At 31.9% G+C, this 27,706-nt stretch overlaps 1 protein-coding gene across 6 annotated transcripts in view; it reads left to right on the top strand.

Moving 5' to 3' along the window:
• GRIK2 (glutamate ionotropic receptor kainate type subunit 2) overlaps window positions 1–26,866 on the top strand; it is a 676,376-nt gene extending 649,510 nt beyond the window's left edge. For 3 of the 6 annotated variants that reach the window (XM_047418681.1, NM_021956.5, XM_005266946.5), the window contains 2 exons: window positions 12,113–12,363; window positions 25,130–26,866. In XM_047418681.1, the coding sequence (XP_047274637.1) occupies window positions 12,113–12,363; window positions 25,130–25,294 (416 nt within the window). In that variant the 3' untranslated portion in view covers window positions 25,295–26,866. Of the gene's footprint in view, window positions 1–12,112; window positions 12,364–20,744; window positions 20,832–22,579; window positions 22,712–25,129 lie in introns of those variants that run through there. The other 3 variants (XM_047418682.1, NM_175768.3, NM_001166247.1) reach the window with 3 other exon arrangements.

The raw sequence follows: 27,706 nt of genomic DNA on the forward strand, positions 1-27,706 counted from the left end.
TTATGAATACAATAAGGAATGATTAAACTAATTAGCATATCAATCACCTCAGATACTTTTTTATGGTGTGAACATTTGAAATTTATTAGAATTTTTGAAATGTACAGTACACTGTTACTAATTATATTCACCATGTTGTGCAATAGATTTAAAAAGACCCTGTTCCTCTTATCTGAGATTTTTTACCCTTTGACCATCATCTCCCCATTTCTCTCAACCCTCCAGCCTCTGCTTTCTGTTTCTATCAGTTCAAATGTGTTAGATCCCACATGTCAGTGAGAATATGTGATATCCGTCTTTTTGTGCCTGACTTCTTTCATTTAGCATAATATTCTCTTGTTTCATCTAGGTTGTCGCAAATGACAGAATTTCATTATTTTTTAGGGCTGAATAGTATTCCATTGTGTGTATATGTACTGCATTTTCTTTATTCTCTGATCCATTATAAATATAAGGTTGATCCTATAACTTGGCTATTGTGAAAAGTGCTGCAATGAGTAACGGAATGTGCACATCTCTTTGACAAACTGATTTCAAATCTTTTGAGTAAATACATAGAAGTAAAATTGATGGATCTTTCCCATGATGGTTGCACTAATTCACATTCCCACCAACAGTATGCAAGGGTTTCCTTTTCTCCACATCCTGATCTGATGGTTTTATAAGGAGTTTTCACTTTTACTTCTTTCACATTCTGTCTTGCCACCACCATGTAAAAAGTGCTTTTCACTTTCCTCTGTGATTGTGAGGCCTCCCTAACCACAAAGAGCTGTGAGGCCATTAAGCCTATTTTTCTTCACAGTCTCAGGTATATCTTTATCAGCAGCATGAAAATGGGCTCATACAGAGGAATACCATTGAAAGACCTTAATTTTATAGAAGTATAAGAAATTCATGAGCAAAAATGATAAGGATACAAAAAGAGTAATTTCATCTTTAAAAATATATCAATCCATAACATTTTAATCACCAAATGGTGTCAGATAAAAGTGAACCAATCTTTCTGATACCTAATAATCTTTTCACATTGTGTATCTGTTCAATCAGTACCTTGCTGAAAATTTTCTAGTGGTGCTCTCGAGCTATCAGATAAAATACTAACTCCTAACAATGTCATGCAATCCCTTTCTTTTACCTATCTTAAGATTCCTGTATTAGTCTGTTTTCATGCTGCTGATAAAGACATACCCAAGACGGGATAAAAAGAGGTTTAATTGGACTTACATTTCCACATGATTGGGGAGGCCTCTGATTTATGGCGGGAGGTGAAAGAATTATTACATGCTGGCAGCAAGAGAAAAATGAGAAAAATGCAAAAGCAGAAACTCTTGATGAAACCATCAGATCTCGTGAGACTTATTCACTACCACGAGAACAGTATGGGGAACCACCCACATGATTCAATTGTCTCCCACTGGCTCCCTCCCACAATACATGGGAATTATGGGAGAACAATTCAAAATGAGATTTGGGTGGGGACACAGAGCCAAACCATATCATTTCCTTTCTGAATTTATCCCCTCTTCCCTACATCTAACCTGATAACAATACAAACAAGTTGGGTTTCCTTCTGCCTGAGTTTACCTTTTTTCACTCTTCCTCCAATTTTCTGGTTGAATTCTCTCATCCAAATAAATTTCTTATGCTGACCTTTTCATCTCTTTACACACTTTTCCTAGGCTGCCACAGAAATATATATGATCTCTCTCTTTTGGAACCATAGCACATTTTCAGATATTCCTATATAGTATTTGGTATATAATATTACAATTTTTAAAGTATCTTTTTCTCCATTAAGATGATAATATGAGTGTCCTAATGGCAAGGACCATAAATGAATCAATTTTTACCCATACTGTCTCACTATTGTTGAGTACATAAATATTACTTAGCGTAGCTGTGAGATCCTAAGTATATAATGGTGAACAATATAACCATGACCCCTGCCCTGCTAGAGTTCTCAGTGTAACAAAGACTACATAAAATTTAGCAAGTTTTTACAAATAAACAAGGTAATGTGTTACAGAATTATGTGACAGATGAAACTATAATAAATTAGTCTTCAGGAAAGGTAAGCAAAAAAGATTACTTCTATTTGATAACAGGCGTAAGAATGATAACTCTTCTTTTACTTTTGCTACCTTTTTCTTACTTCTCTCTCTTCTCTTTCCATCTACATTCCAGTTTTGGAAAGGTGTACATAGAAAAGGAAAAAGATAGTGAGAGCATCTCAAATCCATTTTGTTCATTTCTTCTAGATTTAGAGGATAGGATGAGGTACAAGATATCAGGACCATGGAAGAATTTAGCCAACTATAAATGACACTGTTCATGTAGAAATGAGAGAAGAGAGGTTAAAAATCATCTGGTATCAAGAGAAGAAAAAAAATGTACTAAAGACATACCTAATAAATAATTATCTAATAATGCAAAGAACTTTTAAAACACAATCATAATAAACAACCCCACTAAAAAATGGTCCAAAGATCTTAACAGACACCTCATCAAAGGAAATACACACATACCAAGAGAGCATATGACAAGATGCTCCATATCATATGTCATAAAAGAAATGCAAATTAAAATAATGCTTTATTTAAAAAGCAATGAATAAAAATTGCAAGAGTAAGTTGTTACCTATCAATAATAACCTTGAATGTAAATTAATTCTTCCATCAAAATACATACAGTGGCTGCATGTATTTTTAAAAAGATCAAATTACATGTTGCATATAAGAGATTCTTTTTAGCTTTAAGAGTATTCATAACTGAAAGTGAAGTGATGGAAAATGTATTCCATGCACATGGTAACCAAAAGTCAGCAGGGATGGCTATACTTAGAGTTCAAGTGAAAAACATTTATAGGAGACAAAGAAGGTCATTATTTAATGATAAAGGAGGAAATAAATCAAGAGGACATAATAATTGTAAATATATATGCACCAAATATTGATTCACCTGAATATATAAAGCAAATATTAATGGACTGAAAAAAGAAATTAAAATAATAGTAAAAGGCACCAATACCCCACTTTTATTAATAGGTAAATCAACCAGACAGCAAATTAACAAGAAAATACTGGGCTTGAACTGCACTTTTGATATTGTTTTGCTCTGTCCCCACCCAAATCTCATGTAGAATTGTAATCCCCACATTTTAAGGAGGGACATGGTGGGAATTAATTGGATCATGGGGGCAGATTTCCCCCATGCTCTTCTTGTGATAGTGAGTGAGTGCTCACGAGATCTGATGGTTAAAAAGTGTGACACTTCTCCCCACAACCTGCACCCACTGCCACCATGTGAAGAAGGTCCTTGCTTCCCCTTAGTCTTCTTCCATGATTGTAAGTTTCCTGAGGCCTCCCAGTCATGCTTCCTGTGAAGCCTTCAGAACTATGAGTCAATTAAAACTCTTTTCTTCATAAATTTCCCAGTCTCAAGTGGTTCTTTATAGCAGTGTGCAAATGGACTATTAAAACTTTATATGGAATGAACCTAACAAACATATATAGAACTTTCCATTCAAGAACAGTAGAATGTGCTTTCTTCTCAACTGTCCATGTAACATTCTCCAAGACAGGGCATAGTTTAGGCCATGAAACAAATCTTAACAAATTCAAAAAGGTTGAAATTATGTATAGTATTGTTTCTGACCACAACAGTATGAAACTGGAAATCAATAACAAGAGAAATCTTGGAAAATTAACAAGTATGTAGAAATTAAACAACATGCTCCTGAACAACTAGTAGGTCAAATAAAAAATCAAAAGGAGTGTTAAAAAATATATTGAAACAAATGACAGTAGAAACATAATATATCAAAACCTACAGAATGCAGCAAAAGCAGTTCTATAAGGGAACTTTATAGCAACAAATGCCTCTACTTAAAAAGAACGAAGATCCCAAATAGCCTGACATTATGCCTCAAGGAGCTAGAAAAGGAAGAACAAACTAAACCCTAAAGTTAGCAGAAGTAAATAATAAAGATCAGAACAGAAATACATCAAACAGAGAATAGAAAAACCATAGGAAAAAAACCCAATAGTCACTTCTTTAAAAAAATAAACAAAATAGACAAACCTTTTACTAGGCTAAGGGCAAAAAGAGAGGCGACTCAAAATCAGAAAGAAAAAGAAGGCATTAAACTGAAAACTCTAAAGCATTACTGAAAGAGATTGAAGACACAATAAGTAGAAAGATATCTATGTTCATAGATTGGAAGAATTAATATTGTTAAAAATTTTCTTCCTGGCCAGGTTCGGTGGCTTATGCCTGTAATCTCAGTACTTTGGGAGGCCGAGCTGGATGGATCACAAGGTCAGGAGTTCGAGACCAGCCTGGCCAACATGGTGAAACCCCATCTCTACTAAAAATACAAAAAATTAGCTGGGCATGGTGGTGTGAGCCTGTAATCCCAGCTACTCAGGAGGGTGAGGCAGGAGAATTGCTTTAACCCAGGAGGCAGAGGTTGCAGTGAGCCAAGATCACACCAATGCACCCCAGCCTGGGTGGCAGAGCAAGACTCCATCTCAAAGAAAAAAGAAAAAAAAAATATTTCTTCCTACCCAAAGCTATCTACAGTTTTAATGTAAACTCTCTTAAACTTTCATTGTAATTTCTCATAAAAAATAGAAAAGCAATCCTATAGATTATGTGAAATTACAAAAAGGCCTAATACTCAAGGCAATAATGAGCAAAATAAAATAAAGCTAGAGGCATCACAATATCTGATTTCAAATTACACTGCAAATCAATAGTAATCAAAATAGCATGGTACTGCCCCCCTCCCAAGAAAAAAATAGACATATTGACCAATGGAACTGTATGGAGGGTGCAGAAATGAACCCACACTGTATGGTCAATTGTCAAAACTATCAAGAACACCCAATGGAAAAAAACAGTTCTTCAATCAACGGCGTTGAGAAAACTGGATATCCACAAGCAGAAGACGTAATTTGGTCTTTTTCTCACAACACATACAAAAATCAACTCAAAATGCATTAAAGAATTAAAAGTAAGGTCAGAAATTGTAGAAGTACTAGAAGAAAACATAGGGCAAAAACTATACAACATTGAGTTGGGCAATATTTTTTTAGATTTGAACCCAAAAGTGCAGGCAACAAAAGCAAAAATAGACAAATGGGATTACATCAAACTAAAAGTTTCTGCAAAGGAAGGAAAAAAAATAATAGTGCGAAGGGACAACCTAGAGATTGTGAGAAAATATTTGCAAGCCACACACTCAATAAGGTGTTAAATCAAAACTATATTAAGAACTCAGACAACTGAATAGCAAGAAAAAATTATTTAAATGAGTAAGGGACCTGAATAGACATTTCTCAAAAGAAAACATACAAATGACTAACAGATATATGAAAAATAATTCACCATTGTTAATCATTGGGGAAATGCAAATTAAAACCACAGTGACATATCACCTCACACTAGTTAGAATAGCTGTAACAAAAAAGACATAATGTATTGGAGTAATGACAAGCTAGAAGAAATGTAATATTATTAGTAGTCTACTTCATAAAAATATTTTCCCAGAACCAAAGCGAGCAACTAGTACCAAACCACTACCTAATGCTAGGTCATATACAGCATGTAATATAATATAATTACAATATCTGAATAACTAATGAATATAAAATAAAAGAAACAAATGTCCTTTCGGAGGTGGCCAGAGAGGATATGTCATATGAAAAAAAAGCAATACCCAGTAAGCCCTTTAGACTTTTAACAAAATGTATGAAGGATTTGGGTTCTATTAAGGAAGAACAAAAAGCATATTTTTATTATTTTTTTCAAAAATTGGTTTCATCAATTTTAGTATACAGCTATATTTAAAGTGTTCTTATAACTCTTGTCCCACAAAATTATCTTGCAAATAGACTTCAAAGCCAGTTGTGGAACTGTGTTTTAATACAAGCAGTGTGCTGTGAATTCTTATGAAGCATATGGAGCAATAGATGAAAAAGGGAACCTACAAAAAATACAAATTGGTAAGCTGTGAGTTCACAATATGTAAGTTCAAAGGCAGAAAGGAGAGTACATAGGGTCAGACAGAAAAATCTAATGAAGGGGCAACATATTTTCCACAGAGAGAACACATGTAATAACAATAGTAATTGTTATCTAAGGTTATCTTACTTTACAATAAGTATTAATAGTAATTATTGTTTCTAAAGCCATACAAATTGAATTTAAAAGAAAAGAATTTATGGGGACATTAATAAGCGAGAGGGAAAAATTCTTCCCCGACAATAAATTTAAACATTAGAAACAAGTTTTATTTAATTTTTTCTGTTCTTTCCTTTAATAGATAGATGGAAGCCTTTACTTTGCTAATGTATAATGTGAATTTGCATGAGATATATTTGATATGTAGTATTAATCAAGATTATTTGTACAAGTAATCCTTTACAAATCAAACAGATGTACATTTACCAAAAACAGAAGTGCATGTGGGAATAGCCAGTTTGGGAAATACTGTTGTAAAGAGTTTTAGAAGGAGATATATTATAAAAAGCAAGAATGATTTTGTTTCTGACCCTTGTAATTGATTAAAGCATACAGAAGCTTGATTTGAAAGTAAAGAAACATTTGAAAGGCTGAATGAGAGGTTTCCAGAATGTAAGATAATGCAATTTCAGCATGTTAAATATAAGATACATTGATTTCAGTATATATTTTTAAATATAGGATAATGTGATTTCAGTATATTCATTATTGGACAATTTGCTGTGCAACCTTTAAAGAAAAGTTATTTATCAATGAATAAGCCTCCCTCAGAATTAAAAGAAATGCTGACTGCATTTACTTTATTAGTCCTATATTATCTAGACGTAATGAAATAAGATAAAGAGAAAAATGTTGGCATGTAAAATTGAGAGTTTGTACAGGGTAGTAAAAGGGCTATAGAAGAAATAAATCAATATATTGTATATAATAGACTTAAACTTTAAAATTAAGTATTTAGAACTACGTGCACATTTCATTCTACAAGTAAGGTTCCTAGAATGATAGAGAGGAAAGAAAGGAAGAAGGAAAAAAGGGGGAAGGGAAAGAATGATAGAGGGGGAAGGGAGAGAAGAGCACAGGAGGGAAGTGGAAGTTAGGGAAGGAAGGGGAAGGGAACAAAAGAATACAGGGCCCCAGCACGGTGGCTCAGGCCTGTAATCCCAGCACTTTGGGAGGCCAAGGCGGGTGGATCACGAGGTCAAGAGATTGAGACCATCCTGGCCAACGTGATGAAACCCCGTCTCCACTAAAAATACAAAAATTAGCTGGGCGTAGGGTGCCTGTAATCCCAGCTGCTCGGGAGGCTGAGGTAGGAGAATCACTTGAAACTGGGAGGCGGAGGTTGCAGTGAGCCAAGATGGCACCACTGCACTCCAGCGCCTGGGCGACAAGAGCAAAACTCGGTCTAAAAAAAAAAAAAAAAAAACGGAATAAGAAATAAAAAGAGAGTACAGGAAAGGCAAAAAAAGAAAAAGAAAAAGGAAAGGGAACACAGAGGAATGAAAAAGTAGGGAGGGAAAAAAGGAGAAAAGGAGGGTAGAGGGAGAAAGGGAGGGAGGGAGGACAGAAGGAAGGAAGGAAGCAAGGAAAGAAATAAAGAAGAAAGATAAGAATAACTCAATTTAATAAACCCAGCAAGTTAGCTCTGAAATATTTGGTGAGATTTGTGTTTACTGTTTATAATAATCACAGTTTAATCTCTTAAGGAGTTTTAATCTATGTCTTGGGAGAGATTCTCATGAAATCACAATATTACATAAAAATATTTGATTAAAGTTTAACATAAAAGGGACATTTAGAGACAATAACTCTATTGTTGAGGAAGTTCTGGATAGATACATTTGTAGTTTTTATGTGCCCATCCATACGCTGTCATTGTATGTCACTTGAAACTGCCTCTATACCTCCTTTGAGGGCTCATTTGGAGCATCAGGTCTTATACATCTGACATATGAAGAGGTTTCACTATGTAATAACTGTATGTACTATGACTGCCTGCTTCCCTCCCTCCCTTCCTTCCTTCCTTCCTTCCTTCCTTCCTTCCTTCCTTCCTTCCTTCCTTCCTTCCTTCCACTCTCTGCAAGCTAGGACTTTTTTTTACTTGGTAAAAGGGATCTTTTGGCAACTTGTAAAAAGATAATTTACAAACATGAGTTCCTTACTGTGAATATGGAGAATTTGTTTAAATTATCAAAGAAAGTCCCACTGAGAGCAGCGATATAGAAAGTACCAAAGATTAGAGATTGAAATGAAGATTCAAGGCCTAATTTGGCTTTAAAAGTGTTGGGTTTATCCTGAATTTTTTAAAATAATTTATTTGTCAATGTTTTAAATGTGTGAATTTTAGACAAAATATTTCATATGATCTGACAAAAAAGTGAAAATATATGGTCACCCTGTGACCATATAGTCTCACAAGGTTTTAGTAAAACTGCAACTGAAGGCCGTCTATTTTGAGTGTTGCAGTTTTCCAGATATTTTTGTCTACCTTCCTCCACTCATTTATGGTTGTCTGTCCTCCTAACAGTTTGAAAATTGACTCTAAGTTACAATGATGCATGTTCTAATAGACACATTTATAATTTCCTTAGTGTTTTCTAATTAAAGTTAGAGGCCCCTTGAAAACATATACATATTTCTTGAAGGTGACCTTACAGTGTGACTCCTGAGCTTCTCTCAGTTGACATTCAGCAACATCAGTTCTTTGTTTGCCAACATACAGATTCATGTGGGAGTTTGAACTTGGGAGGAACTGTCTCTATCTACATAATTAATGAGTGTTCACTTCATTAGAGTTAAGTGCATGGCTGTTCATGTCACAGGGAGAATGGAAGATTCTTTCGTTCTTTGGTCTCAATGTGTCCTTGAGATTTTTCATCTAGCTGAAATTTCAGTCCACATTTGACTTCAGCTGGCATATTTGTAGAAATACTTCCAAAGGAGCATCAAATTATGTATCAAATAAGTAATAATTCATTTTTAATTACTTGTCCTTTTAAAAAATACTTAAACTAGATCAATGATGGAAGGACAAGTAAAACATGTCATTGATTTATTGGCATTGATTATATTCCTTATATTATTTCATCTTGTTTAAAACCTTAATAAGCCCATTAACTTTGTACATTTGATTCAAATCAAATATCATTTAAACATTCCTATGTTCATAAAAGCAAGTGTGCTGAGGTTTGCTAGCAATGGGAAATTTGTATATTCACATTCAATGCTGGAAATAGGAAGTTCAGCTGGCGAAAAGTCAAGCGGTGTCTCACTTGCTGAAAAGTAGGTTGCTTTTGTTTATTTGTGTCTTATTTTGTTCTTGAGAATGTAATGGAGAATATAGTGTTTGAAGATACTGGAATAGACATCCCAGTGCAGTTGGTGCATATAGTGAGTTGGCAATAATATTATATTCTTTCAATAGTTCTCAAAATGAGAAATGAGCTCTCACAAAATAAATACTTAAGTGGATTAAGAATTTTCTATATTTGAAAGTCTACTTTCCAAGTAATCACCCTTCACAAATCTTGCTTATAATTATATTTATATAAAAGAAATTACAGTCTGGGCACCTTGGCTCATGCCTGTAATCCCAGCACTTTACAGGGCAGGTGGATTGCTTGAGCTCAGGAGGTCAAGGCCAGCTGGGCAACATGGTGAAACCCCCTCTGTACTAAAAATACAGATGAGGTGGCGGGCACCTGTCATCCCAGCTACTCAGGATGCTGAGGCAGGAGAATCACTTGAGCCTGGGAGGCAGAGGTTGCAGTGAGCCAAGATCCCACCACTGCACTCCAGCCTGGGTGAAAGAGCGAGACTCTGTCTACAAAGACAAACAACAACAACAACAACACACACACACACACACACACATACATACACACACAAAGAAAAGAAATTACAACTTTTTGATAACCAGGTGTGGCCATTTTCACAAACACTATCAACACAAGATTTGTTGCATATACTGTTTCTAATTCAAAGAAATTTGATAAACTATCATTCTGTTTAAAATGGAGATACTCTTCCCCATTAAGTAAGCATTTATTTTGCAGGGAAAATATATCATTATCAGAATAAAATTGATCTTTCAACTGGCACCATGCTAGATATAGCAAATTAATAAATACTGAATAGTCAAGCAAAATGACCTTAGTTTATGGTGTTTTATTACATATCACAGAGACTCAAGCACCATGTTATTGCTCTTACGTTATGTTAAAATGCTTTTAGTCAGTTATTATGCTCCTCAGAATATGCAAACATTTGCTGAGAGCCTATGATTTGAAAAATGATTGAGAATTCAGATGGATGGATGTTTCATTAGTGTTCTTTAGTGTTTATGCTAATGGATGTAGATATTCATCTGCATTAGATATTACATAAGTGATATTTTTGTTAATTTGTTGACCAGAAACATATAAAAATAATGAAGCACATGCATCTTTCTATATCTGTTAGATGGATGGATGGATGGATAAATGGATGGATGGACTGATTGGACAGACAGACAGATAATAGATAGCCTCCATACAAAAAAGCTTGTAATGTATTTAGGAAAATAGAACATATCTCAACAGGTAAATAATAATACCAGGGAACCTAGGCTGAATGCCCAGTGAGTGATCAAGACAGAAAGTAGTATAAGTTGGGCTAATATATTGAAATCTGAAGTGGTTAAGGGGCAGAATTTACACTGCACCTTCATGTTAGATTAGTATTTTAAGAAGAGCACAGGGGAGAAACTGAGAAGCAGAAATTCCCCTAATATACTTAAGAATTCTTGCATAATGAAAATAAAATATTTGAGTTCTAATTATAGGAATGGGCAATGCCCCTATTTAGGAAGGCTGTAAAAAATGTAGAGAAGCCATAAACTTCTACAGCTTTTAAGTAGAGAAAAGATGATGTTAAACAACTTTTCAGTTGAGTTTGGTAGATCTTCATTTGTCCAACTTTTTAAACAGGTTACTTACATTCTATGGTTCTCGTCTTTCTACTTTTACATTGCCTACTCTCACTAAAAGAGATGTATAGATGTGGACACATTTAAATCAAAACAAAATTACAGGCAATGTTGAATACAAGCTGAAATGTTTAATATTTTTCTGGAAGCAGGAAAACACTATGGGTGAATTTGTACACAAAAAATGGAATGTGCAGTATAGTGTCTTAGGAAAAAGATCACACTTTAGAAGCAGGCTATTTCTGGGTGGGGGAAAGGAATAAAACCAATCCCTTGGAACAGATATAGAAAAATGCATGTGCTTCAATATTTTTATATGTTTCTGGTCAATGAATTAGCAGATATTACTTATCATGTAATATCTAATGCAGATGAGTATGTACCTCCATTAGCATAAACAATACGTTTTATTTATATTGTTGCCTCCACTGGAAAAAAACAAAATAAAACCTTGTCTCCTATAAAATAAATTGATAAAGGAACAACGCCCCAAATGTTTACAATACGTGGCTGTATGCCCCTTGATTTATAAAGTAAATCACCATAATGATTTTTAAATTATCTAAGTCCATACAACCTGTGACTTCTGTTATGCACATCACATAACAGATACTAGTGACTGCCCATTATCTGCTAAGTAAAAGATACCATTGAATACAGCTTATTAGTAATTATTCCCTTAAATTACTGCATTTAATCTTTGGAAACACCAATTTTTCACAACTTTTCTGGTCTAAAAATAGAGATAGCTGTTTTATCAGTGCTCTGGTTTCAGTGTAGAATAAATTGTAGATATGAATGAAACATCTTTGCACTCTATCCGTTTTCCTTTGTGGATTCTTTCTTACTGTTTTACAATGCTGTAAGCTGAGTCCACCTTTTAGGAGACATATTCTTTCTTAAAACAAAATTCATTTAATTCCTCAATATCTAGCAAGGCTATCCATTTTAATGATCTTGTTAAACGTCTATGTGTTTTTTCCAGTTGTTTTTCTCTTCTGAAAAAACATTGGCACACTTTGAAGCATTTTGAAAAATCTCTGCCCTCCTCTCATCTTGCTAACCTTTAATTATGAAATTTCAGGTTCCTTGAAATACTTAACATAACCTCTCCTTTCTTAGGTTCTCCATATCGAGACAAAATTACCATAGCAATTCTTCAGCTGCAAGAGGAAGGCAAACTGCATATGATGAAGGAGAAATGGTGGAGGGGCAATGGTTGCCCAGAAGAGGAGAGCAAAGAGGCCAGTGCCCTGGGGGTTCAGAATATTGGTGGCATCTTCATTGTTCTGGCAGCCGGCTTGGTGCTTTCAGTTTTTGTGGCAGTGGGAGAATTTTTATACAAATCCAAAAAAAACGCTCAATTGGAAAAGGTAAATGTTACTTGTTTCAGTTTAAATTTAAAACAATTTTTGTTGTTACAATAAAACACAAACCAAAAGAGTTTTTATGTTACCAACTAATGATAATGCATAGAACTATTGCTCTAAATTGTCTTATGTCATTCATTACATAACAAAATATTATATTTTGTGAAATTTCACAGAAAGACTCATGGTCACCTTTATGATTTTTTATTTAATTTTAATATGTTTAATTGTAGCCAGCTTCAGGAAAAATAGCTATTTCTACTCTTATTACAGACTTAAAAAATAAACTTTTGTTGTTTGAATTTCATCGTGGTATATGATGAGATACAGTTAATTAAGTGAGTAAAAATTAGAAACTAATATGAAAGAAAAAATACTCTGCAGATTAAAAATGAGGTTTTATATACAATATGGGTTAACAGTTTCAAGTTAGAGAGTAAGTTTTTATCTGAATAGCTTTAGTCCAATAAATTTCTAGTTTAAGAAAGATATTAGCTTTCACTGGAGAAATTACAGTTAATTTTCTACATTAATGAGTGTGTGAAAATAGTATAGTTTCTTTTTGCCATTTAATAGTATTCTTAATCAGTTCTTTGTTTTTTTGTACCAGAGTCCTTCTAAAAATATGTATAAACTTCAAAAATATTGAGGCTATTGCTATATTTTGCATTTGAATGCAGTCATTTGTATAAATGCTTTTTGTATTATCCTTGAAAAGTTTGTCACCTCATTCAGATTCTATATTTCTAGTGCTATAATTTCCTCATTTTTATAAATATGATGAAGACTAGGAAAATAACTCTTTCAGATGCTACATGATACTTTTTGTATGCAAATTCATTGCTCTGGATATGACAAAACCAACAGTTTAAAGTCTTCTAGTACATTATTTAATCTTTTGTATGTAAACATCTCTTTTGTTTTTGAAGAAACTCACAATATTTTAGACTTAACTTTAACCACTGTGGCAGAGTGAGATGATATAATCTTTAATATTTAAGAGGTTTATGAACTTTAGTTGGTAAATACAAAGAGCGAAAAAGAGGTATTTTGAAAATAATGCCATACAGGAATACCAGGTAAATATTTTTTCTAATATTCTTTGAAGTGTTTGTACCTTTAGAAATATTTTTGAAAATAAAAATGCTCCTTTATCTCTAATAACTTATGTCATAATTATTTATCCTTCCTGGAATCAGAATTTTGGATACAGTATTTGTACATTTTTGCTTGATTACAGTACTTGACACTGAGGAATGTTATCATAAATGTATATTTTTATAACCCCATTTTGTCTATGACTGAAATAACAAATTAAAGTTTTTGAAGAATTCAGAAAATAACATGATTTGTTTTCACAACACATTCAGGTTGTTATTTATGCTTGCTTGGCTAACTCAAATATTGGTTGCATTTGTGTGTCTAAGTACACTTTTTATGTTATAATCATTTTTAAAGTGTCAAAATGAACTTTGAAACTAAATCTAAAGAGCTAACCAAAGAAGAAATATTAACTCATTAATTATCATTTCAGGTTTAATTTGTCAGTAAATGTGGTATTTAAGGCATTAATGTGTAATATAAGAATGAAAATCATAGAATAAATATGGGTTTTCTACTTGGAACCTCAAATAATCCATATGTAATAATTTTCTTTAAGTTATAGCTCAGTATTAAAGTAAAACGAATTAGTCTCTTGATGATATGTGGTATTCTATTGTGCTTACCTCTATGTGTCCCATTCATTTGATTTAGCTAGGCCGTATCTTTAGTGCAGTTTTGTTTTACAAGTATCTGGTTAAAACAAAAACAAATGATGCGAGGATTTAATTTTGTAACGTATCGTGCTTCATTGTTATTACGAACACGTTTAGTTGAATTTTTCAGATATTACCCAGATCTCTTGACATTCTATGGATCTATATGATCCTCTAAAAATTAGAAAAATAAAATTAATGTACCTTTTCAAACGGAAACAATGAAGCATTAACATTGCACTAGAAAGAAATAACTGAGTGGATATTACATGAGCATTATAGTCACTTCACAATGCTTTGCACACTGTTTCTACATAGCTGCCACAAAGAAATCCAAATTCCTTAGGTTAGCAGATGAGACCCTTTCACACCTGTCCCTGTCCACTGCTGTAGCTTTATCTTTTGCTCCTCTCCAATTTGCACCTTTACTACAGCCACACTACATTTTAACTCTCAATTTCCCAAGTTTATACTCTCCCTTTTGACTGGAGTAAATCTTGTCTATTATTTTACCTTGCAAACTCTCACAAACATTTTATATTAGGCACTTAAAATGAGACATTAACTTGCCCAGAAAGCTTTCCCTAATCAAAAGGTATAATGGGTTTGGGCACAGAGCATAGCTTGTTTCTAAGAAGTGGAAGTAGATTTTCATTTCCTATTGCAATGAAAAAAAATGTGACTCATATATCTCATCTTTATACTTAGTTTATTTCAGGTACTGTCATAATCTAAAAACATGTATCTCCTTTTGAGAAAGCTGGGAAGGTATTTTGCTCATTTCAAACCATTTTCAGCATTAAGTCTAGATATCTTCACGCTGCGAACCCCTAAGCACATCTCCATTATCCCATTAACAGTATTGTATTCTTGTTTGTTGGCTTCTGTGTATGGGTGCCTTTTCACATATTAAATTCTTCTTGCTGTTAGGACAAATACCTAGTATTTTTTGTTTGTATCTCCAAGGCCTCAATTAGTGCCTGGTGGCATAATATCTATCTACCTATCTATCTATTTGTCTATCTATTTACCTACCTACCTATCTACCTATCATTTAAATTAAGAATGAAGTTGATTGCAGTAACTTTTTAAGAAAAGTATCATAAAGAAACAAATTATTTTTCTATACAATTCAAAATAGTAAATTAAATAATTATGGATTTAATGGAAATGATTCATTTTATTTATTCTGATAAATTAGGTTCTTGGGCTCAGTTCTTCATTTTTCTTAAGAAAATTTAGGTTGGTCTATATGATCTATATGGCTGTTTAACACATTACTTAATTTATTAAAATTAGCCATACGATAGTCCTAGATTTTATCATACATTTGAGAACATACAGAAATTCAGTTTACTTTTACTTATCATAATTGTGTCTTTAACCTAGATGTCTTATATTTCAAAAATAAGGTAAACACTTGTGAGATCCATTATTTACTCAATAAATATTTATTGATAAATAAGTCTACAATGAATTGTGTTTTGCCCATTGAAGGAAAGCACGAATGTATTGGTGACTAAATAGTTTGTCAGATATGTCAGATATAATATATATGAAGTTTAGCTGAATGTGAACTTTGTGAATAAAATTTATAAATAATGAATATCTTTCCATATTAAGTCTTACTTTTAATGATGATAAAATTATAATATATTAATTTATGGGTGAAAATAAAATGCCTTTTATAATACATATTGTAAATACTAGTGAAAACAAATAGCTCTTGATAATGATAGGCTTTCTCATAAGTTGTTGGATAAAGATTAATATGCAAAGTTTCACATTTTTAAATGAGGGCAGGTTAAAAATAAAAACAGAAAATAAAGCTGAAATATGTGGACCTTCAAGCATTTAAAAATGGAAATTGCATTCCTTTCAGATAACCACAAGATGGTGTATCATAATTTTTATAAAAAATGGCTTTAATTGTGATGTAAATATTAATGCCTCAAGGACACATTGCTTTTTATTTATTCAAACTTTTAAAATACTCAGAACCTTTTCTCATCTGAATGTGTCTGAAAAGGTAACTAATCAACACATGCATTTTATAATTATTTTTCTTTTTGCCTTATCTCTTCTGTGATTTTAAAGATATTTCTACTGAAGTTTCACTGAGAAAGCAATCCAAGAAACTGTTGTGTATCTGAGACAATTATCACACTTTGGGTGTATGGATTTGGTTGAAAGATCTTGTGTCCCTCTTCTAAGACTTACTTTTGGCTATAACAAGCTGCTTAATATACTGAATTTTGTTGTTTTCTCTGATAATATTTATAATATGTTGGCTTTGTAAGCAAGAATTATAAGATATAATAATTTTAATTTTTATAAACTTTTTATAACATGGATTGTTTAAAATTCTGCATTTCTTAAATATTTGCATATGTCTACTTTTAACAGACATACATAATTTTTCTTTTTTTAGGTTTTCAGCAAGAACAGCAACATAACTTCTATAGTTTGATCTCTTTTTGTGTGTTTTGTATATAGAAAGAATATTTTTCCCATGTATTTGAAAATGTATTTGCTTATACAAATTGTTTTTATTGAACTGTCTGGATATAAATTATTGAGTTTCCTGACATAAAAAAAATCTTAAGATGAAGCCAAAAGCACTCCATTTCTTATTAAGTGTAAATTAAGTAAATATGTCTAAGAAATAAAATATATATATATATAAATTATTGCTCAGATACTGAATTTGTGCAATAGGTGTCCCATCTTGAACACACATTTTTGTTGTCTTTAAAATGGTTAAAATGTATTTTTAAATCTATGTGGTATTGTTGTTTTTTTAGGACATAGTCTACTTTGGTCAATGTAGCTGTTTCTATTATAGAACACTGGCAAATTTTACCTAAGACAATCTCTAAATAATTATATTTTTTTCTGGTGCACTGATAGTTCAAAAACATTTTGTGAGGGAACATAGAATGTTCTTCAGTGTTTAGAGGAATAACCAATTTGGAATACAGCTATAAATCAGAGTAGTAGAAGCACAAATGAACAAAACATTTCAATTTGGGGGATGATAAGAAGAAAATCAGAGGGTTTAGTTTAAACACGCAAGACTAGGGATCCTATTTTAAAGGTCATTTATAAGGAAAACACGTAGCAAAGCCAACTAATTCTGTATTTCATGGAAACAGAAGAATGAAAACAGGTTGTTTACAGATAGCTACGTATAAGCTGCTGTTAAAATTTTAAATAATTAGTTCTAACAGGAGCAATGCTTTTTAGAAGAATATACTTTTGGGGTAAGGTATAGGAATGCAAACAGTGTTATAAATTATCAGTAAAAATGTTATGTCAATATTTATGTTTTGCCCAGTAATGCCTTTTTAGAAACTATAAGATATCTATACTTTTTATTAATTACATTTGATGTAAGAAATTTTAGCTGAACTTAATTTTACAGAAGTTAAAATTTCTAAGTAAATTTTCAGTGTAAAAATTATAGCTGTAAAGCATAATTATATAATAATATCATATTACTTTTTCTTAAAATGCGTTTCACAGCTATATTGACTAAAGTTGTGTTGATTCTTGTCAGACCTTATGTATTAATTTTTTAACTTGTTCTTCACAAGTTAAAAAGTATAAATAAACTTTGGACAAATGTCAATTTTTTTATTGTTTTTATATCACTGCCTTTCTTTGAGAGCTGAGTGTCTTTCAATTTCCATGAATGATCTATATAATGACTAATTGGATGAATTTTTAAAATGTCTTGATATACAAATATAAAATACTGTACTTTGAAATGAGGTGTCAATCTTCATTTTGCTTACTGATCTACTTCCAAATCAGCTAAAGGATTTTTAGGTCATTTGTTTATGATAACCCATACTCTTTGTATCCCCACAAATAATTATTTTTAATTAAAATAATAGCTTAATAGATAATTTTACCACCTTATTTTTATAAATGACTTTAGTTTTTAAAGTGTAATACCACATTTGAATACAAAACTACCCTAAGAGCCATGTAAATATTATCATCTATATAGTACAGATGAGGATAATAAGTATCTCAAGGGTGAAGTTGTTTTCCAAGTTCAAAGATGCCTAGTCTAACAGTGTTTCAACCATATCAAGCTGTACAGAATGGAGGCAGAATATTTAACTATTCTTCCTCCTTGAATTTTTCACTAAGGAAATATATGGATTAGGAGTTTGAATTAGATAAACAGATTATGGGCTTTGGTCATAAGCAGCCTAATAATTTCACCTTCCTAGATAGTAAGCATGAGTTATGGAATTAAAAAGACTTGGAAACATAACTTTGTTTAACCTTAGATAAAATTACTTAGCCTCTCTATTCTTCTTTTTAAATAAATAAATAAATGAAACAATGAATAAACAAGTTATGAATCCATAAAAACGGTGTTTTAAGAATTAATTAAGATAGTTAATATACATAGAGGGCTTCTTTGCACATAACTGGCTTATAACAAGCAGCTCTTTTAAAAATAATATCATTATTATTATTTGTAAAGCTGATACATTTTAACTGCCACACCTTATGAAAAGAAAGTTTTCTAGCTTAAGCATTAGTTATTTGGATGTAACTCTTAAAAAAAATCGTATCATTATGACTACTAGCAAAAATGTGATGATTAGTATTATTTTTTCTAAAAATGCATTTCACAGCTATATTGATTAAAGTTGTGTTGTCAGACCTTATTTTTTTTTTTAACTAGCTTAAGTAGGGGAAATTTAAAAGTGTATAATGATCCTCAATTTTTCTCCATCCCATTGTGTTTGCAAAATACAATATGAGGATATTGGGTAACTGTTTCTGTTAGAGTAAAGGTTTCTGAGAATATTTTAATATTTGATAATGTTTATCATTGTGAAATAATCCAGGCTAAAGCATAACATGATTTATAATTTAATTCACTAAGAAAGATATGTATTTCTTTTGCCCTCATAATTTTTTTCTGTCTGCTGTATAATTTAGTATTCAAAAAATTTACATTTAGCAAGAATAGAGTCCAGGTAAAAAGCTCAGCTGAGAATGAAATCATCATTAATAAGGCAGGCTAATATGATAAAGCTTTCATAGATGGAAGTTAAGATAATAGAGTTCCTGTCTTAGCTCTGAGACTAGTTAGATATATAACTTGACTTCTTAAGTTTTAATTTTTTCTAGCTATAAAACTACAGTGATCAGTAGGATCACGAAAGATGCTACATGTAAAGTTTCTTTTGACTGCTGAATAGCTTATGTAAATAATAAAACTTTTTTTTAAAGATAGCTGCTCTAAAACCAAATATCAAGAACAAGGTTGTATATATTTTTTTAACATGAGTGATTTAGCCAGTCATTTTCCATCTTTCATTGCTTCACTGTTATATTCATATAGCCTTAGGTCAATTCATACTTCTGATGTATAGCATTAACTGTTTGATGTTTTTAAAAGGCTGCCAATCAAAACAGTTATATTCACAAGAAAAAATTTAACGGGTCACATTAAATGACATTTATTTTTGTTATTTAACACACCAATATTATGTAAAATATTATATCTTATATCCTATGAATATTTTTTCCATTTTAGTTATTATTATTATCTAATGTGGTAGAATAATTTTCTGCAACTAATCACAGTGACTGTTTTGATTTGTTTCCACTACATGTGACTTACTATTCTTGGGCAAATGGCCTATAGAGTCAGAAATTAATTGGAGAGTGTCTAAGAATATATAGTATATCCATAATTAGTTAACAAATAATTTAAATGACAAACACAAAATAAAAGTTTGGTTGATATGTACTAGAATATATTAGACCACTGAGGTACAATAGTATCTTATAGATACCATTGATAGGAGTAGCTCAAATTTTGGTAGGCTCCAAGTAGGATAAGTAGAAATTGTATGTAGAAATGGTTAGGAATTATTCTGAATGAATACTAAAATATCATTTAGTTATTTTATACTATCAAAATTAGGCCAGCGAGATACACAAAATAGGATTTCCTCCTTAAAAATAAATACTAAATGCAGGCTTGAAAGTAACATATTTTATGATATTTCTTGACCAATGAATACATATATTCAAAAAGAGAGTGATGAGCATAAAAGTTAAATCATGCTGGTTATTTTTCTTCAGATACTGTTTTTCAAAAATAAGTATATTGCTAAACATAATGGTTTTAACTTTAAAATGAAGCTACATATGTCAATTATCAATGTGGAGCATGATTTCAACTACACTTCTAATATAAAAAGAAATCTGTGCTTCTCCAAATGCTGTCACATCATGTTATTATAAAAATATATCTTTTAATTAGGAAGTTAAGCTTTTAAGAATAAATATTCTGTAACATCAACAATGATATTCTTGAAAACATTTACCTGTGGACTATTTATGTATTTTCTTATTACATCCAAAATACAAAATAGAGCTCTTTAAAAAAAAAAAGCTCTATAAAAAAGCAATGTAAATATGGCCAAGTTCATACTATCAAGATTTCCAGATCTACATTGTTTCAAGAATTAGAGATGTGTAAATATAAATTGACTAATTAAATATAATGAATTTTATTAAGAGTTTTACTAATTTAAATGCAATTATACATGCTAACAGCTCAAAGATTTAAATTTTCATTTTCAGGAATCTTCTATTTGGTTAGTGCCACCATACCATCCAGACACTGTTTAGTAATCTTTTGAAACTTACTAAAAGAGGTTTTTAATAATGGTTAGTATCCTTGTGCCTTTCTTTTTTCTTTTTGTAGTCTGTTATATTAATGTGGAGAAACATTTTTATTGTTGTTTTCATCCTAAGGAACTGACCTTATTTAATGACACAGTGCGTGGGTTTCCACCCCTAAATAGTGATTTTAAAAGCAAGATAGTTGTCTTTCTCTTTCTTCTTCCCTCCAGCTTTCCCTTTCTTCTTCTCCTCCTTCTCCTCCCTCTCCTTCTCCTTCTCTTCTCCTTCTCCTCCTTCTCCTCTCCTTCTCCTCCTCCTTCCTTTCCTTTCCTTTCTTTCCTTTCCTCTTTCCTTCCTTCCTTCTTTCTTTCTTTCTTTCTTTCCTTTCTCTCTCTCTCTCTCCCTCCCTCCTTTCTTTCTTTCTCTCTTTCTCTGTCCATCTTTCTTTCTCTCTTTCCCTCTCTCTCTTTCTTTCTCCACTTCTTTTCTTCTTTCTTCTTTTTTTAGTATAACCAGGAAAATTACTGCCTAGTGCACTTGGGTTTTGAGACTTATTTCATAGTCCAATAAAAAGATTTAAAATAAATTTCAATCATTATATAAAGTATAAAAGACAATTTGTCTCTACTTAATGATAATACGTTAGAATTTTACTTAAAAGTTAGACACAGTAAATTTTGGGCAATGTACAGCACAGGGAAACAATTATATTTCACAAAACTCTGTATAGTTTCAGCTTTAGAGACTTATATAAATCAAGATATGGAATTTGCCTTGTAAACCTTTAAACAAAAAGAAAAGAATGTATATTTGCTCTAGTACCATAAATGAACAGTTCTTTGTGATATCCTTGAATTTGTTTAATTTGCCATGTTAATTGTAAAATCTTGCTCAAATCTAAAGATTATCAAGTTTTAAAATGGGTTAGAATTATTCTACAAATGAGAAAAGAACCTATCGTCTCACAGTAACTTTATCAATAACCTAAATAAACCTATTTTTCATGTAAACTTACATTGATAAATAACAAAAGAGCTGGCAAAATTCATCTTATTCAAAGAGAAAATTAATAAAATTTGTATTTTGTCATTATGTAATCGAGACCATTGATTGACTTATGAAAGATTGCTTGATTAAATTTTTACTTTCTAATGGCTTTGTAAGCTAAATAAAGTCTATGACGACAATGGTGATTTACATGTTTACAATTTTGAGATAGTTGTAAAATTTGTAAATATAATTTATTTAAGACAATTTCAAATTATAAAAGATAATACTATTCTGGTAATTGATTAGAATGGGCTTTTTTCAATTTACATTATCTATTACTCAGCAATATAAACTTAATATTATATGAAATTGCTTAAAATGGTTTTAAATGTTCTTATTTGTAGTCTGAAGTAAGTATGGGGTACTAAACACAGAGTTTACCTCTTAAATTGCTAGAAATAATATTGAGTCATTTCATAGTTGAGCTTGTATGCACATGTGTAAGATTTTTTCCTAAGAAAGTTAGTTACTTAGCCTACTCCCTTACTATAGGCAAATTATTAATTAACATTTATACTCTATTCTGTTTTGAAAGTAATGTAACCAAAATATCTGAAAATTGAGATTGCCAAGAAGAAGGTGTCATAAATTTTTGAAGATTTGGGAAATTTATTGGTTTTAAATGAAGGTTTATTTCAAACGATTCAATGTTACACGTCCTATAACAATTTTAAATGTCAACGGGATCAAGTTTTGACCATGTTATGTCATCTAATTAATTCTTCTGTTAAATGTTTCAACAGAGAGCCAAGACTAAGTTACCTCAAGACTATGTATTCCTCCCTATTTTGGAGTCAGTTTCCATTTCTACAGTGTTGTCATCATCACCATCTTCATCATCATTATCATCATGTTCTTAATAAGTACATCTAATAGTAGGTATTAAGCAACAAGAAACACTGTTTCCATATACTGGCTGTCAGGTGCCACATAAATCCTTTAATAGAAATATAATTCATGAATTGCAGAACTGCATAATTTAACACATAATACATAATGCATGGCAATGACTCTGTAGTTAATGGGGAATTCACAAGTCACATTTAATCATCACCCATTACAAGTGCTAATATATTAATATTTTTATTAATTTAATGTTATTAAACAAATGCTAAAGTTTTGCCTAATTTTATTAGGCAAAATTAATTGTATGCAATATATTTTCACTAGGTTTCTAAACCTGAAAATTTTTTAAGCAATTGAATTAGAAACATTGTTAAATAAGAATTAAAATATTAGAGTCCTGTGTATCTATTGTTAATTCAATCAACATTTAAAGAGCTTATGTGTGTACAAGCAGTGCCGTGAGAACTTGACCTCTGCTCTACACAATTCAGGGAGAGAGATACATAGAGCACTGGCAGGCCAGACAGAAAAACAGGATAATGAGTGGAAAATACTGACAGAATAAAACAAAATCAAGTTGTGAAAACAAAAGAATGTGCCTGGTCAAGTGGAAAGGGCTTCCTAATTAAGTTAAAACTTGAGCCATGTCCTGAGGTAGGGGATAAAGTTGGGATGATGTGAAAGATGAAAGAACTCAGCAGGGTACCAGAACAAGGAGAAACAAAGGAAAAATATTAATGGAAGTCCCACCAATAAAGGGAGTGTGAGGAGAAAGAGAGAGAGATGGAAGCAGTGGGGAAGGGAGAAGAGGGCTAGATCAGAGAAGTCATGATGGAAAAAAATAATAGATTTGAGTTTGACTTGTTTCCTAAAGGAGAAAATGCTATTAATAATTGATATTTTAAAAATAGATTATCCGGGTAATTGTGAACCTTTACAGAAGAGTGGCGTAGACGTAGAATTAGGAAGACCATTAAGGAAACTCTTTAAGGAGTCCATCAAAGGAAAATTAGGATATAGCCAGAGATTGACAGGAAGGTAATAGAGCAGTGTCAAAATCATAAAACTAGATATATCAGGATATGTTGCTGGAATCTTAGGTGTGAACTGTAGAAAGTTATCCAACCTCTCTCTGAATCAGTTTTCTCTGACACACAGATACCTAATTAATTCAAAGTATGTTTAGACTGGCACAAACTGTTATGAAAACAATTTTTTAAATGTATTTTTAAGTTAACATATAAAATTGTATGTATATATCATATATAACGTGTTTTGATGTATATATACATTGTGGAATGGTTAGATATGTCTAATTAGCAAATGCATTACCTCACATATTTATTATTTTTGCAATGAGAACACTTATTCACTCTTTTAGCACTTTTCAATAATATATTATTATTAACTATAGTGGCCATGCTGTGGAACAGAGCTCTTGAAATTTTTCTTCCTGCCTAACTGTAAATATGTATCGGAAAATGACACACATATGGTCTTAAATATTTTCATCATGTTGTCTTAGAAATAGTCTAAGTTCATAATCAATAAAGCAGCTAACGCACAAATAAGTCTTCACATGTATCTCAATCAGTTGGGGAGAGACACTAACAAAATTTTGTTTCATATATATGACTCTACAATATAAATTTTGAGGAGCTGTAACAATAAGCCCCAGATAAACAGAGGTTCTAGCAAATCTATTTCCAATGAGATGGGAACTAAGACAAAAGCAACATAGGGTCATATTTTTTCTCATTTGATAAATTATCAGCTCTCAGTTATCAAGCTAATGATGACAAAAAAGTTAATATTTGTTTGTAGATGTCTAACATGCTATAATTTGTCATTTCATGATTAAGTCATATTTGTTTGTAATCACTGTCAATGTTTCTATAGGCATAATCACAAAAAAGACATAATGAAATGCCAGAAATTGTTTTCCATATTTTATGTCTGTGTGAGTGCTATCTTTGTTTTGAGATGTACAATGAAGAATCAATGTTCAAACAACATTTGCATATCTCATCTTGTGATCTGAAAAGTAGTATGATTTGTCTATTTTTTTGTATCAAGAATGGGTTTCTGGTATAGAATTGTCATTGTATTTAAATTTTAAAGTAGATGTCTATGTCATGCTAATCATTTTTATATAATGTCATAGGAAAATTTTATTTAATATATGTGTAATATATACATTACTAGCTGGTTGTTCATTTCAGTATCGGGTGGAGATTTTCTTTAAACTAGCCCACTTTTATAGAATATTTTAATTATCATGGGTTGAGTGTTTAAAGTGTGACATTTGTTATAACTTTTACAATGAAAATTTTCAAACCTTCAAGGATGTTATGTGACAAGTCTGTTGAGGATGATTTTAATATTGATCTTGGACAGTTACAGTTTATGTATCTTGTAATATTTAATTTTTCTGTGTTCTTCTGTAGAGGTCCTTCTGTAGTGCCATGGTAGAAGAATTGAGGATGTCCCTGAAGTGCCAGCGTCGGTTAAAACATAAGCCACAGGCCCCAGTTATTGTGAAAACAGAAGAAGTTATCAACATGCACACATTTAACGACAGAAGGTTGCCAGGTAAAGAAACCATGGCATAAAGCTGGGAGGCCAAACACCCAAGCACAAACTGTCGTCTTTTTCCAAACAATTTAGCCAGAATGTTTCCTGTGGAAATATGCAACCTGTGCAAAATAAAATGAGTTACCTCATGCCGCTGTGTCTATGAACTAGAGACTCTGTGATCTAAGCAGTTGCAATGATCAGACTTGATTTACAAGCATCATGGATCAACCAAGTTACACGGGGTTACACTGTTAATCATGGGTTCCTCCCTTCTTCTGAGTGAATGTTAACATGCGCATTTTGTGGCTGATTTCAAATGCAGTCCAGTGAGAAATTACAGGTTCCTTTTGAAGCTCAACTGTTGCCAGGAGATGGAATATCAATGCCCAACAGGGCAACCAATAAAAGTGTCACTAAGAATATAAATATTTGGAATCAGCAAAAACTGTAGTGTTACAGGAAACAGTACAGTCTTCTGAACACCCAGATCATAGAGGTGATGATGTTACTAGCCCCCAACTACTCAGTATAATTATTGTCTGAATGCAAAGTATGTGTTTATAGGATGTGAAAAAATGTAATGCAAAACAAATTTGAATCCCATGGCAGTTGGAATATAAAGCAGATGTTCATCACTTATTTTCCTTTTTTCTTTTCTTATTTTTTTTTTTGACAGTCTGTGTCACTGATTGAGATAGAAATGCCAATTATCAAGGAAATAATGTTTTCTTAAGTTCCCTAAGGCAGAAGATTTAACATGCAATTCTACCAGATCCCTTCCTATTCCCCCAACACCTTTTCTCTAACCCCCATATCCCAAATAATAATAATAATAATAATAATAATAATAATAATAATAATAAAAGCAGTTGGTTCAGTGATTCTGAATTAAAAGGATAATGTTTTGCAATGTTCAAGTTGTAAAAACTGGCCGAGTATTGGCTGTGTGGAAGACTAAAGCTTTCATTCTAACATTCAGACATAGCAATCCAAACCCTTGTTCCTGCTGTAAATGAACTTGATGGAGCATGGGCAGATTTCAGTGATACGAGAAAGGGGACTGGTCATCTATAGAAAAATCTGTGAGAGAACTTGGAAGTGGACTGCGTTTATCAATACAGTCACAATGTTAAATGAACAAAATTCTTGAACAGTTTTTTTTCAAAAAATGTTCAGGTTTATTTGTGGAAATGCAAGATTTCTATGAAAATAGTTTTTGTATGGAAATTTTTGTAATACTTTTTATCAACAAAACAAGAACATGTGTTCCTGTCAGGGGTGTGATGTCAAGCATGAATGGTAGTGCGTGTGCACCACCAACGTTTGGTGAAAACTATTTTTATCAAGAAAAAAGGAATCATAGAAGAGAAATATTTTCAAGTTAGATAATATAAAAGCTAGGTGCACTACCACCACTGCTTACCATGCCACACCCCTGGTTTCCACGAGGCTGACAACATACTGTAATGAACAATTGTGTGTAAAATGGTAAAAGACACAGACCTCTTGACAACATTGTGATAACAGTTGAGTGCACACAGTTTGCTGTTTGAATCCAATGCACAAAATTAAAAAAAATCATTAAAACTATGTTCATTTTACTTTCAGCTTTGTCTTTCATTTTTCTCTTGTATGTGTAATGAATGCACCATATACTTCTTTACATTAAGAGAAGCACATATCCTAAATATTTCTAGATCATCAAGGATGGCCACTTCCCAACTACCTGAAGAAAAGAAGAAAAATGCTTGGGGGAGGACCTACTCAGATCTGGAAAAGCTGGACTGGGATATAAAAAGTAATCTTAAGTTCAGAGCAGTTAAAATAAGACAAACAGTAGTTCTAGAGGTGACAGACATGATATTACCTTTTCAATGAGAGGATATTGACTTTGTAAGTTAGGTTGTATAAGACTGTACAGTGATCACTAACATTTAAAGTTCAACTCATATGCTATTTAATAATTCCTTGCACATTGATAATTTAATGTAATTCAGCATAAAACAGAGAAAGAGATAGGTCTAATATTCCACTTAGTGATGATGTGGCATAGATGTTCACATACCAATAGGAACTTTTTAAAATGATAAATTGTAACATATATTTTGCTAAGCAAAACAATTATAATCAGAACCACTGACAGAAAGAAAAAAATAAGAAGTTCTGTGAAGTATTTTTTAACTCACAAAAGTTGCATAATCAAAGTGCCTGACATCTAAATTAAATATCCAAGTGTTTTCTAAATTTCTAGTCTCATGGTCATTTTAAGTTAAAATTCATATGTCAATGATAATTATCTCAAAATATAATTTTAGAGAGTTGCACAAAGCACTGCTAAAAATCTCAGCATTGGTTTGGTGGCAAATATCCTCAAATAACATACCTCATAAAAATGTTCAGATTTTGGATAATATTAAGCTTTTTATAAATCAGATTCTAATTAGACT

The sequence above is a fragment of the Homo sapiens genome, chromosome 6 (assembly GCF_000001405.40).
Source record: "Homo sapiens chromosome 6, GRCh38.p14 Primary Assembly".
Classification (NCBI taxonomy): Eukaryota; Metazoa; Chordata; class Mammalia; order Primates; family Hominidae; genus Homo; species Homo sapiens.